The sequence below is a fragment of the Homo sapiens genome, chromosome 3 (assembly GCF_000001405.40).
Source record: "Homo sapiens chromosome 3, GRCh38.p14 Primary Assembly".
NCBI classification, from domain to species: domain Eukaryota; kingdom Metazoa; phylum Chordata; class Mammalia; order Primates; family Hominidae; genus Homo; species Homo sapiens.
The window spans coordinates 155,420,237-155,432,602 of record NC_000003.12 but is presented as its reverse complement, the minus strand read 5'-3'; the positions used below and the strand labels follow the sequence as shown (position 1 = coordinate 155,432,602).

General features: G+C 40.2%; 4 annotated features.

The window, feature by feature from the left end:
* Positions 10,314 to 10,915: an enhancer, noted in NCBI's record as "H3K27ac-H3K4me1 hESC enhancer chr3:155139477-155140078 (GRCh37/hg19 assembly coordinates)". NCBI's record gives its function as "activates a minimal SCP1, AML or CMV promoter by ChIP-STARR-seq in naive H9 embryonic stem cells {active_cell/tissue: H9 hESC(naive)}" and the evidence as "EXISTENCE:reporter gene assay evidence [ECO:0000049][PMID:30033119]".
* Positions 10,916 to 11,518: an enhancer, noted in NCBI's record as "NANOG-H3K27ac-H3K4me1 hESC enhancer chr3:155138874-155139476 (GRCh37/hg19 assembly coordinates)". NCBI's record gives its function as "activates a minimal SCP1, AML or CMV promoter by ChIP-STARR-seq in naive H9 embryonic stem cells {active_cell/tissue: H9 hESC(naive)}" and the evidence as "EXISTENCE:reporter gene assay evidence [ECO:0000049][PMID:30033119]".
* Positions 10,916 to 11,523: a biological region, named in NCBI's record as "Sharpr-MPRA regulatory region 3680".
* Positions 11,229 to 11,523: a silencer, noted in NCBI's record as "tiled region #3680; HepG2 Repressive DNase matched - State 13:Ctcf". NCBI's record gives its function as "represses a minimal TATA promoter and a strong SV40 promoter by Sharpr-MPRA in HepG2 cells {active_cell/tissue: HepG2}" and the evidence as "EXISTENCE:reporter gene assay evidence [ECO:0000049][PMID:27701403]".

Below are 12,366 nucleotides of genomic sequence, written 5' to 3'. Positions count from 1 at the left end.
TGAGGTTTTCTGTTGTAATTTTTATTGTTATGGTTTCTTTACAATTTAGTTTTGAGGTCTCTCTGTTGAGAGCAGCCATAAGCCAAGACAGCCATTCTGCAGGAGAGCCTAGGATGGGAGAAAATTAGGTTTGGATGTGTCAGTCAGGTGAGACACAATGAGGTGGTGAAACCATTCATGAAACAGAAGAGATTCATTACTTACAAAACCAAGAAAGGCTAGGGGTGCCAATGGGGAGCTGATGGGAAGTCTAGAGGTGGCAGGGAGCTCAGCCAGCGAGTGCGGAGCAAGAGACAGTGAGAGGACCTGCGGGATTATGCCTTTACTGAGGTCCATGAGCATTATCTCGTAGACTTTTCGGCAGAGTATGTGAATTGGCTAGTTTAAAGAAAACACACAAGAAGTGGGGAACTTAAATTTTTATAACTCTAGTATTGACCATTAGGTTTATTGTGGTCAGGAGCAGCAGGATGTGTTGGGTTTTGGGTCAGTGAGATGAGGAACAAGCGGTCTATACCACAAACAAATTTTTAACAGGCCAAAGGTGACCGAGCACAACTGGGTTTCAAAACATTCATGTCAGGTCTAAAAATGGATGCTGAGGCAGCAACTATATTAAACACATTTATGGCACCTGTAGAAGAAGAAATTCTGCCTGTGAACTGCAGCATTAACTCCTGCCTGAGTTTCCAACCTGCTGGCCTCCCTTACTCTACAAGCTGACAGATGGAGCCTCAAAGAAGAGGTGATATTGCAGCTCTAGTCCAAAGGCAGTGGCTTCCAGAATTTCATCTTTCTTTGGAGACCACTGTCTTTTTCATAAGGCCTTCAACTGATTGGATGAGGTCCACCAACATTATGCGGGATAATCTGCTTTATTCAAAGTCTACTGATATAAATGTTAATCTCATTTTAAAAATATCTTCATAGCAGCATCCAGAAGTTTGACCAAATATCTGGGTACTGTGGCCTAGCCAAGTGGACATGTAAAATTAATCATCACAATATATATTATAGTATTTTTTCCCATTTCTACTATGTCTTATCTATAAGAATAGGTGGCTTTGTGGATTGATTTCCATTATTTTCAGAATATACACCATATGCTACATGATCCAAAGGCCCACCTTATAAAGGTACTTTGAGGTGTTAATTTAACACAACATAGTCTTTCTATCATGCTGTGTCAATGCTCAGCCTATCTAGACTCTACATGCTTATTCGGCATGAAATGCTGTCTCATCTATAGGGTGATTTATTTCAGTAGTAGCAGGAATACTAATAATATTTATAATCAGAGAAGTATTTGCCTCAAAGCAAGAAGTATGCCCTCTACGATATAAAATATTTCAAGAACCAACCTTTGTGAAAGCTTAAGTACTCAAAACACTTGAAACAGCAAAACACCCAGCCCCTTGAAAATCAAATTCTTTAAAATTGCCTTCAATAACACTATGACTTTTTTTAAGCAGATGAATTATTACTAAAAGTTATTATACAACTTTGTCAAATTGATTGATTGGTTAAACTCCCTTGTGCCATAATGGTTCACCCATTCCAACCATAGTTTCAAAATGCAGCTTCTCCTATTATAGAAATATTGCTGTATTTTTCATGACCATGCCCTTGTAATTGCACTTCATTATGTGCAAAATTATTTTACATAAGCACAATAGAAAAACTATTGTGTGTCTGTATTGGTAATAATTACAATTACCACAGTTAAATATATCCACAGGAAAATCAAGTCTATACCAATCTAGATTTGACTCATTAGGATCTGCTTACCTACATTTTCAACAAAATTCTTTCTAGAGGCAATTACATTCTTGCTATTTGGCTCAGAAATTGTGCTCTTTTCACCACTAGCTTGGGCATCCCAGATAATCAACCTACAATTGACGCTTATATAATAGCATCTATTTTTATTCCACTATTAGCCAACTTACAAATGAATCAAAGAACTTGAAGAAATAGAATAAATCTACAATAGAAAGTCTTGCGTTCATTTTTAAACTCTTTCATCATTGTCTTGACAACTATCATATCCACACATTACGTTGAAAGTTGTTATAAAGCCCTGAAACTGGAGAAAGTGTCCTGAGGTAGAAACTTTCTGCATCTCCCATACAACCACTGCTCTCCAGCTACCCTATGCCCCTATAGTGCCACTTGGGGCCAGACTTGTCTCTGACCCCACATATTTTGATTGCTTGGTTGTCTTACTAAGGAAGTCAAGGAAATCAAGAGGGACTTCAACTCATCATCTGAACAGGCAAGAAATGCACCACCACAGGTGGGTGTCTTTCCTGGACTCAGCTCTCTTCTGAGTTCCTTACTTTTCTCCAAGCCTGTTGAATCATCCTCCTCACAGTTCCTTCTATCCCAAGTTATCGTATGAGCAAGAGCTTATTTCTTTCTTAGGTATCCCTCAGACCTGCTCAGAGAAGTGGGAACCTAATGAATGCTTTATCATGCTCAGTGCATGCAATTTAGTGATATTTAGGAACCAAAGCCTTATTGGAGCTCCAGGTCAAGTTGACTGATACCAATCTGTCCAGTTCATTTGACATCTAAATTAAAACATACCAGTTTTTAAATATGACTTCCATCCTTTCTGATTTAAATGTTACAATGTAAGAAACTAAAGTCAAACTGTAAGAACTCTCCAGTACAAGAAATGATTATAGGTGACTAGCGGGTTGGGGCACAAAGGATCCAGGATAATTTAATACACCTTGTCTTTCCCATTTATTTATTTTTTCCATTTTTTTATTTTTTGAGACAGGGTCTCACTCTGTCACCCAGTCTGGACATGCAATCTTGGCCCACTGCAACCTCCACTTCCTGGGCTCAAGCAATTCTCCAGCCTCAGCATCCTGAATAGCTGAGACTACAGGCATGTACCACCAATGCCTGGCTAATTTTTGTCTTTTTTGTAAAGATGGAGTTTCACCATGTTGGCCAGGCTGGTCTTGAACTCATGAGCTCAAAGTGATCCATCTGCCTCAGCCCCCCGAAGTGCTAAGATTTTAGGAGTAAGCCACTTCACTTACCATCTAAGGATGATAGAAACCAGCATTTCCTTGTGGGGAGACCCTCTTTTGTAGAGAAAGCTAGCTGGGGCTAGACAAAATGGTGTAGACTCAGTTTCAGTGTGCACCACCCCCTTTCTCTGCCCCTTTGGCCCTGCCATTTCAGCTGACTCACTCATAGCATTCTCCCCTCAAACCTCTCAAGGTAGGCTCTGGTAAGAGCTAATGCCAGTTATTTGTACCTTAGTGTGAACTAAGTTTTGGCTATCTCTTGTATTCTAAGGATAAGAAGCTTGGTCCAGGTAAGAAATCCCATAACTTGGTAGCGTGTATCAGTGGAGGAGGGTTGCTTCATCTGGGCTCAAGTTAGTTCCAATCCTTTAAGGCAGGGGTTCTCATTGCCTAGTCCCTGGATCAGAAGCAGCACCTGAGAACCTTTTAGAAATCCAAATCATCAGGCTCCACACCCCTACTGACTCAAAATTTGAGAGGTGGGAGTTGTAATGACCTGATGGCTTCATTTTGCCTGCTGCCCAGAAAAGCTGATTTACTGAGACAGCATTATCGCAATAGAGAAAGAGTTTACTAAATGCAGAGCTGACTAAATGGTAGACTGGAGCTTTGTTATTACTCAAATCAGCTTCCCTGAAAATTCGTAGGCTAGAATTTTTTTAAGAATATTTTGGCGGACAAGAAGCTAGGGAATGAGGAATGATGATCAGTTGAGTCAGGGATAAAAATAGGGAGTTGGAGCTTGTCTTCTTGTGCTGAGTCAGTTGCTGGGTGGGGGCCATGAGACCAGATGAGCCAGTTTATTTGTCTGGGTGACACCAATAAGCTGAAAAACACCTCGAACACCAATCCAATCTTAAGATTTATAGTAGTGATGTTATCCATAGGAGCAATTGGGGAGGTTAGGAATCTTGTGGCTTCCGGCTGAATGACTCCTGAGCCATAATTTCTAAATTTGTGGCTAATTTGTTAGTTTTACAGAGGAAGTCTGATTCCTAAACAAAAAGGGGGTTTGTTTGGGGAAGAGGCTGTTATCATCTTTGTTTCAAAGTTAAGTTATAAACTAAATTCCTCCTGTAGTCAGACAGTCCTATGCCCAGGAATAAGCAAGGGCAGCTTAGAAGTTAGAAGCAAAACGGAGGTCAAAGTTCTTTCACTGTCATAATTTTTGTAAAGATGGTTTCGGAGTGTAGGAGCAATGTGTATTTTAGCAAACCCTCCAGATGATTCTGATGTGTACTCAGGGTTGAGAACCCCTGCACAGGAATCATCACTCTAGACCCACAAAAGCAAGGCAGACCTGGCTGCCCCAATGACATCTACTATACAAAGTTATGTTGGCTGAATGGTTAAATAACAGGCATTATACACCTACAAAAATTTAAAGTTAATTTTAGTTTGAGCCAAGATTGAAAACTAATAGCCCAGGAACACAGATTCAGCACAAACCAAGAATGTGTCCCAGGGTTGCCTACATGAGGCACAGTATTTATATGTTCTGATACATAGAAATAGGAGAAGGAGGCACTGAAGCAAAGGTGACATGTTTATAGTTCTAATTGGTGCTCAGTGATGTCGTACATAAGATAAAGCAAGCTTATATAAAGTAAAATGTTAATGAGTATGTAGGCATCTTAGGATTTGGAGACGAATGATTAGCTCTATCCTTACTTTGTGCTTCATCTGATAGGCAAAGTAGTAATCAGTACATGCCAGTGAAATATTTGACAGACTCCAGCCTTGCAGGCGAGAGCTCAGCTTTAATGCATAGGCCTTATTTCTGTTGTCTATATGTCCAAACTGCAGCCATCTTAGGCTACTTTTAGAAATTTTTCTTTCATATTTGCCTTCTTCTAACAGTTATTATGCTTGGAAGATTTATTGCAATCATGTCAACAAAGCCCTGGGCAAGTCCCAGGGATTAATATTTGCTATTATAGGAGACCCTGGGATTAATTTTTTTGATGAATATTACTCTGTAATGGGATATTATGCATCACATCTAAGAGAATAAGGTTTGCTGATGGAATTAAGAGCACAAACAAGGGAAATGCTCATCTATTTGTGAGCCTGACTTTTCATCCAAATAATGAATAAGCTAATTACAACTCTGATCCATTAAAGCACACAAGACTTTCTTATTCCCCTTTCAACCAGTGTTACCTTTTTATTCTTGGAAATAATGAAACTGTATTTCTTTTAAGATGCTCTCAGACCTACCAGACTGAGATTTGTCCTCAAATGGGGAAAACTTTGCAGACTTTTATAATTTTAAAATCTTCAATCTAGCATTAGAGAATAGAAACTACCAACAACGAGGAATGAAAGGAGAGAGAAAGAGGAAAAGAGAAACTCAAGGTCCCAAATAGAAAAGAAGCTTAGGTGGAGGGGGGCAGGATAGGAAGAGGGGCTAAGAGGCATTACAGTAAAGTACTAATGAAAGGAGTTAGACAGCTTGCTTTAGGCAGACAGTAAGGGACGGGTCCCTGGAGAACCTCCAACATGCCTCACAAGTGCTTACACTAGATGTTTTGTGCAGATAAGGGAACTTGCACAGGAGACTTGCCTGAAACATGCCTGCAGTTGAAAATTCCATTCCTTAACACATGTGCAGTAAGGGAAATAAATCAATATGGAATGGATCAGTCTAAGGGCCCACATGTGCACTGGAAGGATGGGTTGAAGCCACTAGGAATTCACGCCTTAAACCCTGGTATTTAACTGTGAAGGGGGCAACCAGCAACCTGCTTTCAGGACCCCTCTTTTTGCTGAGAGCTTTCCTTATGCTTAATAAATTCTACTCCACTCACTCTCTGGTGTCCACATGCCTAATTCTTCCTTGTCATGAGACAAGAACCCAGATGTAGCTGAGCTAAGGAGCGAAAATCCTGCATCACTACATGTCTCTATTTCTGAAATTTTAAATTTATACATTTATGTTCCTTCCCACATGTTTTGTATATTCAAATTGAAGTGCTGAACCAAGACCAGAATATTCTAAAAGAGAGGAGGAAGGAAGAGGGCAGAAGAGAGTAGTGGAAGAGCAACACTGATGTTTTAGGGGAGAAAAAATAATTTTATCTCTACTCCCCATAGTTCTTAGTTGGGACAGATCCCTGTAACAAAAGACAGATTAACAAAAACAAAGCAAAACAAAAATGTTTAAGAATATGTATGCACCCTATATATGTAAGAGATAACACAGATGAATGAGTGAATCTCTAGATCTCCAAGAATTTATACTTCAGGCTTAAATCCCGTCATTCTCTGGAAAAAGAAAGAAAGGTGTGAATAAAGGCCTCGTTGAAATGAAATGACCAGAAAAAGCATGGAAAACAGGGAAAGGTTTGTTATGCAGATTTAAGTCCTTAAGATGCTTTCTAAAGGCAGAAAAATGTCAGATTTAAGATGTTTTCTTCATTAATAAAAGTCTCTAGTGATTCAGTCATTCTTCTCTTTCTGGAAAGTACACAGAAGATATCCTTAAAAATGGAGATTTCCTTTGTGGTTGTAAATTTCTCTTACAAAAGGGCTACTGTTTCAGAGCCTTTCCTGTGTCTTCTGTTTCTCAAAATAAACATTATGCCAGAGATGCATATTTTGGGGTGGTATATCCTGGTATCCAATGGTCATCTTTTGGGATGATGTATCCTGAGCCTTATCAACATCCAAAGTAATAACTTATATTGCTTCAGTGCTTTAGTTTACAAAGCACTTGTTTCTTCCTCACAATACTATGGGAGAGGCAGAGGTTAGCAGTATTAACCCCTATAGAAGAAGAAGCTGAGGTCCAGAGATTAGAGATAGATCAGGTGCTCAACAAGTGATGGAACCGTGTTTTGGAAATAAACAAAGACCAGTCAAATGAGAACAAGCAAAGGCTATTATCCAGCTTGTTATATCAAGGGAGTCAGCTGCCATCCCTTATGTCTTGGCAGAGACTCAAAAGCAGGCAGCAGAGTGGGAAAGTTTTACAGTGGAAATGTCATAGGCATTTGAACCAGAGCAGCTTTACCTTGAATAGGGGCTAGGTAAAATAAGGCTAAGACCTGCTAGTCTGCATTCGCAGGCAGTTAGGCATTCTAAGTCATGGGATGAGATAGGAGGTCAGCACAAGATACAGGTCATAAGGACTTTGCTGATAAAACAGATTGCAATAAAGAAGCCAGTTAAAACCCACAAAAACCAAGATGGCAATGGAGTGACCTCTGATCATCCTCACTGCTACACTCCCACCAGTGCCATGACAGTTTACAAATGCCATGGCAATGTCAGGAAGTTACCCTATATTGTCTAAAAAGGGGAGACATGAATAATCCACCCGTTTAACATATAATCAAGAAATAACCATAAAAATGGGCAACCAGCAGCCCTGGGAGCTGCTCTGCCTATGGAGTAGCCATTCTTTATTCCTTTACTTTCTTAATAAACTTGCTTTCACTTTACTTTATGGACTCGCACTGAATTCTTTCTTGTGTGAGATCCAAGAACCCTCTATTGGGGTCTGGATCAGGACCCTTTTCTGGTAACAGAAAGCAGGGGAGCTTTAGTTATTCCCTGATTGAGGCTGTTGGCAGGGGGAAAATGTAGGCAGGTATCCTGCGTGATTGGTTAGGGGTGCATATCTGGCTTTCTCTGGTTGGTTCTAAGTTGGAAGCAGGAACAAAAACTAGGAAAGTTGTCATTATTAATCAAGTCCTGGCCATTTGGGGCTAATTACTATAGGGATTATTGTTCAGTTCCCTGAATTTTACCAGAGATAGTTATCTGACTTCACATAAGTTTGAGTTATTGATAGCAGGCTGGTTTTCTAGGCTGGTTAATGTAGATAATGGGCTGGTTTCCTGGGCTGTTGGCTGCAGGTTGTGGGTCAGAATTCTATTTTATATGTGGTCTGTCCATTGTCCATCTGTATATTTAGGCTGTCATTACTGAGTCCTTTTTGATTTTAGTTTTTGTTTAATGTCTTTTAAGGTAAGGCTAGAGTTGTGCCATCCACTGTCTATTTTGCCCAAGGCTCTTCTGGAGAGTCCTGGAGCAGCCTCACATATCTGAAGAATTCCATTTAGTTTCACATTAGCATTTTAGTAGAAGTTAGTTCAGAGAAAATTTTGTCTGGCCCCTTGAATTCCAAGCCTATTCCTGGATTTTACAATGCAAGGAATGAACAAACTTTTGCACCTATTTGCTTGATGGAGTATGACAACCTCTAGCCCTGGGGACCTTTATTCCCAATTGGCTGCTCGTGCTGCAGGGTCTGGGTTTGCAATGCAAATGAGAGACTGCAGAAGGCTGCTGTCTTCTGCAGGGTGACTAGCTTAGTCACCCCTCTTATCCTGCCCTGGATGGCAGCTTCCTTGTACCAGTTCTTATCTCCTGTCTTGTGAGCCGAGGAGAGCTTGCAATGAAACAGGTAACAGGTAACTGGAACATTTATAATTCTGAGACCTCACATTGTGGAAATTGTTCCCATTCCCAAATATTAGGAAACAAAGTCAAAGAGATTGTAAAGCCACAGGCAAGACTGCCTTGGGCTGTTACTAGTCTGCAACCAGGAAAGAGAGCTCTTTGTGGAGCAGCTGCTGTTTTGGTGTGACATAAGCCTGGCAGCCCTTTCCTCCAGCCCCCCTACTTGGTGGGCTTGGCAGCTGCCAATGTGTGAGTTAAGAGAGACCCCAGTAATCTGACACAGTGCCCCAAATGTCAACAATTTGAAAGCCATTGGTCTACTGTTACCTGGTGCTTCCTCCACTAATACCTCTGAATTACTTTTGCGAATAAATTTATAAGCTGCTAAGGGTTCAGGGCGGGGACCAGTGACCTCAAAGGAAAGTGACTTCCTGCGCTTGCACTGTAGTTGTTGAGCCGAACAGTGTGACACTTTTGCAATAGATGTGACTCAGAACTGAAGTTCAGGACCTGAAAGGGGGGCTCTCTGTAGAAATCCCTGTACATTATGGCCATGAAAATAAGTAAGTCAACATCTAAGCTGTTGAAACTGCAAAATACTTTTCTATTTCTTCTTTTTTCTTTTTCAACTTTCTTAGAATCTAGGGGTACATGTGCAGGTTTGTTATTGTGTGATGCTGAGGTTTGGGGTATGACTTAACCCATCATCCAAGTAGTGAGATAGTATTCAATAGGTAGTTTTTCAGCTCTTGCTTCCCTCTTTGTCTCCCCTGCTAGTAATCCCCAGTGTCCATTGTTCTCATTTTTATGTCCATGTATATCCAATGTTTAGCTCTCACTCATAAGTGAGAATATGTGGTATTTGGTTTTCTGTTTCTGTGTTAGTTTGCTTAAAGTAATGGCCTCCAACTCCACCCATGTTGCTGCAAAGGACATGATTTAATTCTTTTTTATGGTTGAATAGTATTCCATTGTGTACATATACCACATTTTTCTTTGTCCAATCCACTGTTGATGGGCTCCTGGGTTGATTTCATGTTTTTGCTATTGTGAATAGTGCTGTGATAAACATAAAGTTGCATGTGTCCTCTTAGTGGAATGATTTATTTTCCGCTGGGAAATACCCAGTAATGGAATTGTTGGGTTGAATAGTAATTCAATTCACAGTTCTTTGAGAAATCTCCAAACGCTCTCCACAGTGGCTAGACTAATTTATATCCCACCAACAGTATATAAGTGTCCCCTTCTCTCCACAACCTCACCAGCATCTGTTATTTTTTGACTTTTTTTAAAAAAGCCATTCTGACAGATGGAAGATGATCTCTCATTGTGGTTTTGATTTGCACTTCTCTAATGATTAGTCGTGTTGGACATTTTTTTCATATGTTTGTGGGCCACTTGTGTATCTTCTTTTGAGAAGTGTCTGTTCATGTTCTTTGCCTACTTTTATTGATTTCCTGTTTAAAGAACATTACAGTAGTTTGAGCCTTAAAGGAATATAATTATAGTACCCAAGTCAGAGTCAAAGAGTTAAGCAGAGTTAAGCAGGCAGCTATACCCTTTGCTTCTGTCATTACAGATATGCCTTCTTCCTTATTTACCTTGTTTTGAGGAATGTTGTAAATAACTGAGGCGTTCCAGGGAAGACCCCTTTCCTCTTTACTGTTGATTTGCATTACAGATGAATTTCCCTCTTACCTTTCTCACACAAAGACGTCATGGCTATCACATGGTCTTAAGATAAAATGTTAAACACACTCTTTTAAACTGGAAAGGAAATAAAAACCAGCTGCAAAGAAAACAAGCTGTATGGACAAGAAAACAAACTAACTGAATTGTTGTAACTCATAAACCAACCATGTATAGAAATGTTATGATCCTACTAAACTTCTTTGTTTTCTGCCTATATTAGCAAGATCTTAACTTTTAACTTTGAAGCTATGACCCATTTCTCTGGGGTCTGTGTCTCCTGGATGGTCATTCTCAGCTTTTTGCCTTAATAAGCTCTTTAAAATTGGATTCTGAGCCTTTTGATTATTTCAGGTTGTCAGTCTGAGCTCTCTGGTGACATTCTTCACTCACATGGACTCCTTTCTGGCCTCAAATGTGCCAAGTTCTTCCACACTCAGGGCCTCCCAATGTGCTGTCCCCTCGCCTAGAATGCTTCTCTACTTCTTCACTTCCCAGGACCCTACTTATCCTTCAAGGGCTTAAAGATCATTTTCCTGGGGACGCTGCCTGAATCCTTGGTCTGGTTATGCCTCCTTTGTTTCTCATTTTCTTGTGCCATGTATTTTTCTTTTATAATGCTTATCATACTTCAGATCACACACTTATTTGTGTGATAATTTAATGTTAGCCTTGCTCATAGGACTGTAAGCTTCCTGGGGGGAAGGACCACGTCTGCCTCCACTGATGAATCCCTCAGGCACAATGCCTGACACAGTAGATACATAAGGTATTTTTGGTGAATGAATGAATAGCATGATCAAAATTCTGTGTCTGCTCTCTTCTGCTAAATCGAGTTCCCCATGGATTAATCCTACTGCTGGAGTTTCGATTCTCTGTTCCAATACACTCCACTCAGTCTCCCCCAAATTGACGCATTTTCTGTCTGAAAAATAACCTGATCTGTATTTTTCTCTTAGAGACCCAGCAGCAGCTCTTTACCACCCAGTTCTGCTCAGTCTTTTTCTTGACACTGGCCTCTGTCACTCACCAAGTCCTTATTCCCTTATTCTGTCCTGTTTCTTCTCTAGGATGGGAGAAGAGCTTCAAACACTGGGATTGCCTTCCCTTTGTCATTTAAAAATAAGAGCTAGGCATCACTTTACAAAGGCTGAAAGAGAGAGTGCTCTGTTCAGGGTGCACTCAGCCTGGACTCCCAGGACAAACATTTCTATGCATGACCTTCACATATGTGCTCCAGGAACAGCAGAAGAGACTCTCTCATTACTGTGAGCACAGATATTGTGAGGACTAGTGCTCAAACTAATAGGTATATATTTGCTGTTTCTCAGAGCAGCTATTGTCAGGACTTCTACTGCACAGTTCCAGGGTGGGTCTAGGGGGCTCCACTTACACAAAACAATGTGAGTGGCTCCTCCTGGAGTTTGAAATGCTAATTGTTTGTGGATAAAAAATAAATTCAAATGTCCCATACCTTTTAGAATGAAGTGGTATGAGTCTGGGTCTTTAAATCAAATGGGCAGTGACTTTATGAAGTGAGAAGCATGAAATATCGCATAGGAAAGTCTTAATTTTCCAAGTCAATAAATTTGAAAACCAGCAACCAGACTGAAATGATTAAAGAGAAAGGAAGGAAAAAAACCTCTGTTTCCATGTAGTCAATTTGTAAGTCTGTAAGGAATTTAAAATCTTACTCTTTATTTTAGCATCGAGTGTGTGCGTTCATTTCTTCCTCCAGACAAAATACAGCATTTTAGGTTCATCTGGGACTTAGATTATATGGAGAGTTTGTATGACTTGGCAAGAATGGTTGGGGATGGGGGAGGGAGGGAAAGAAAGACAAAGGGTTCTTCTGCTATGTTTTTATTGGAAATATTTTCCATTTGTGCACAGAATAGAAAATTTAAACAACTGTTCTCAAAGTGCTTGTGTATTAAATGCCTCGGTGGTTAGTTGGGTTCTGTGACAGAACCCGCTTCAGGGTATTAATAAGACAAGTTGGATTTTAGCCAAATCTTTCCACTAAAGGGTAGACTATGGACAGGGAACATTAGTTAGGAGGCTCTTAGAGTAATGCTGGGAAATATTATGAGCACTAAACCAAAAACTTGCCATATAGCAATGGTTCCCTGGAGACTGTGAGGATGTGTGGCAAACACTTTTATTTGGCTACATAATGGTCATTCCCAATTCACGTCCTTCTTAACTACCTTCAATTATA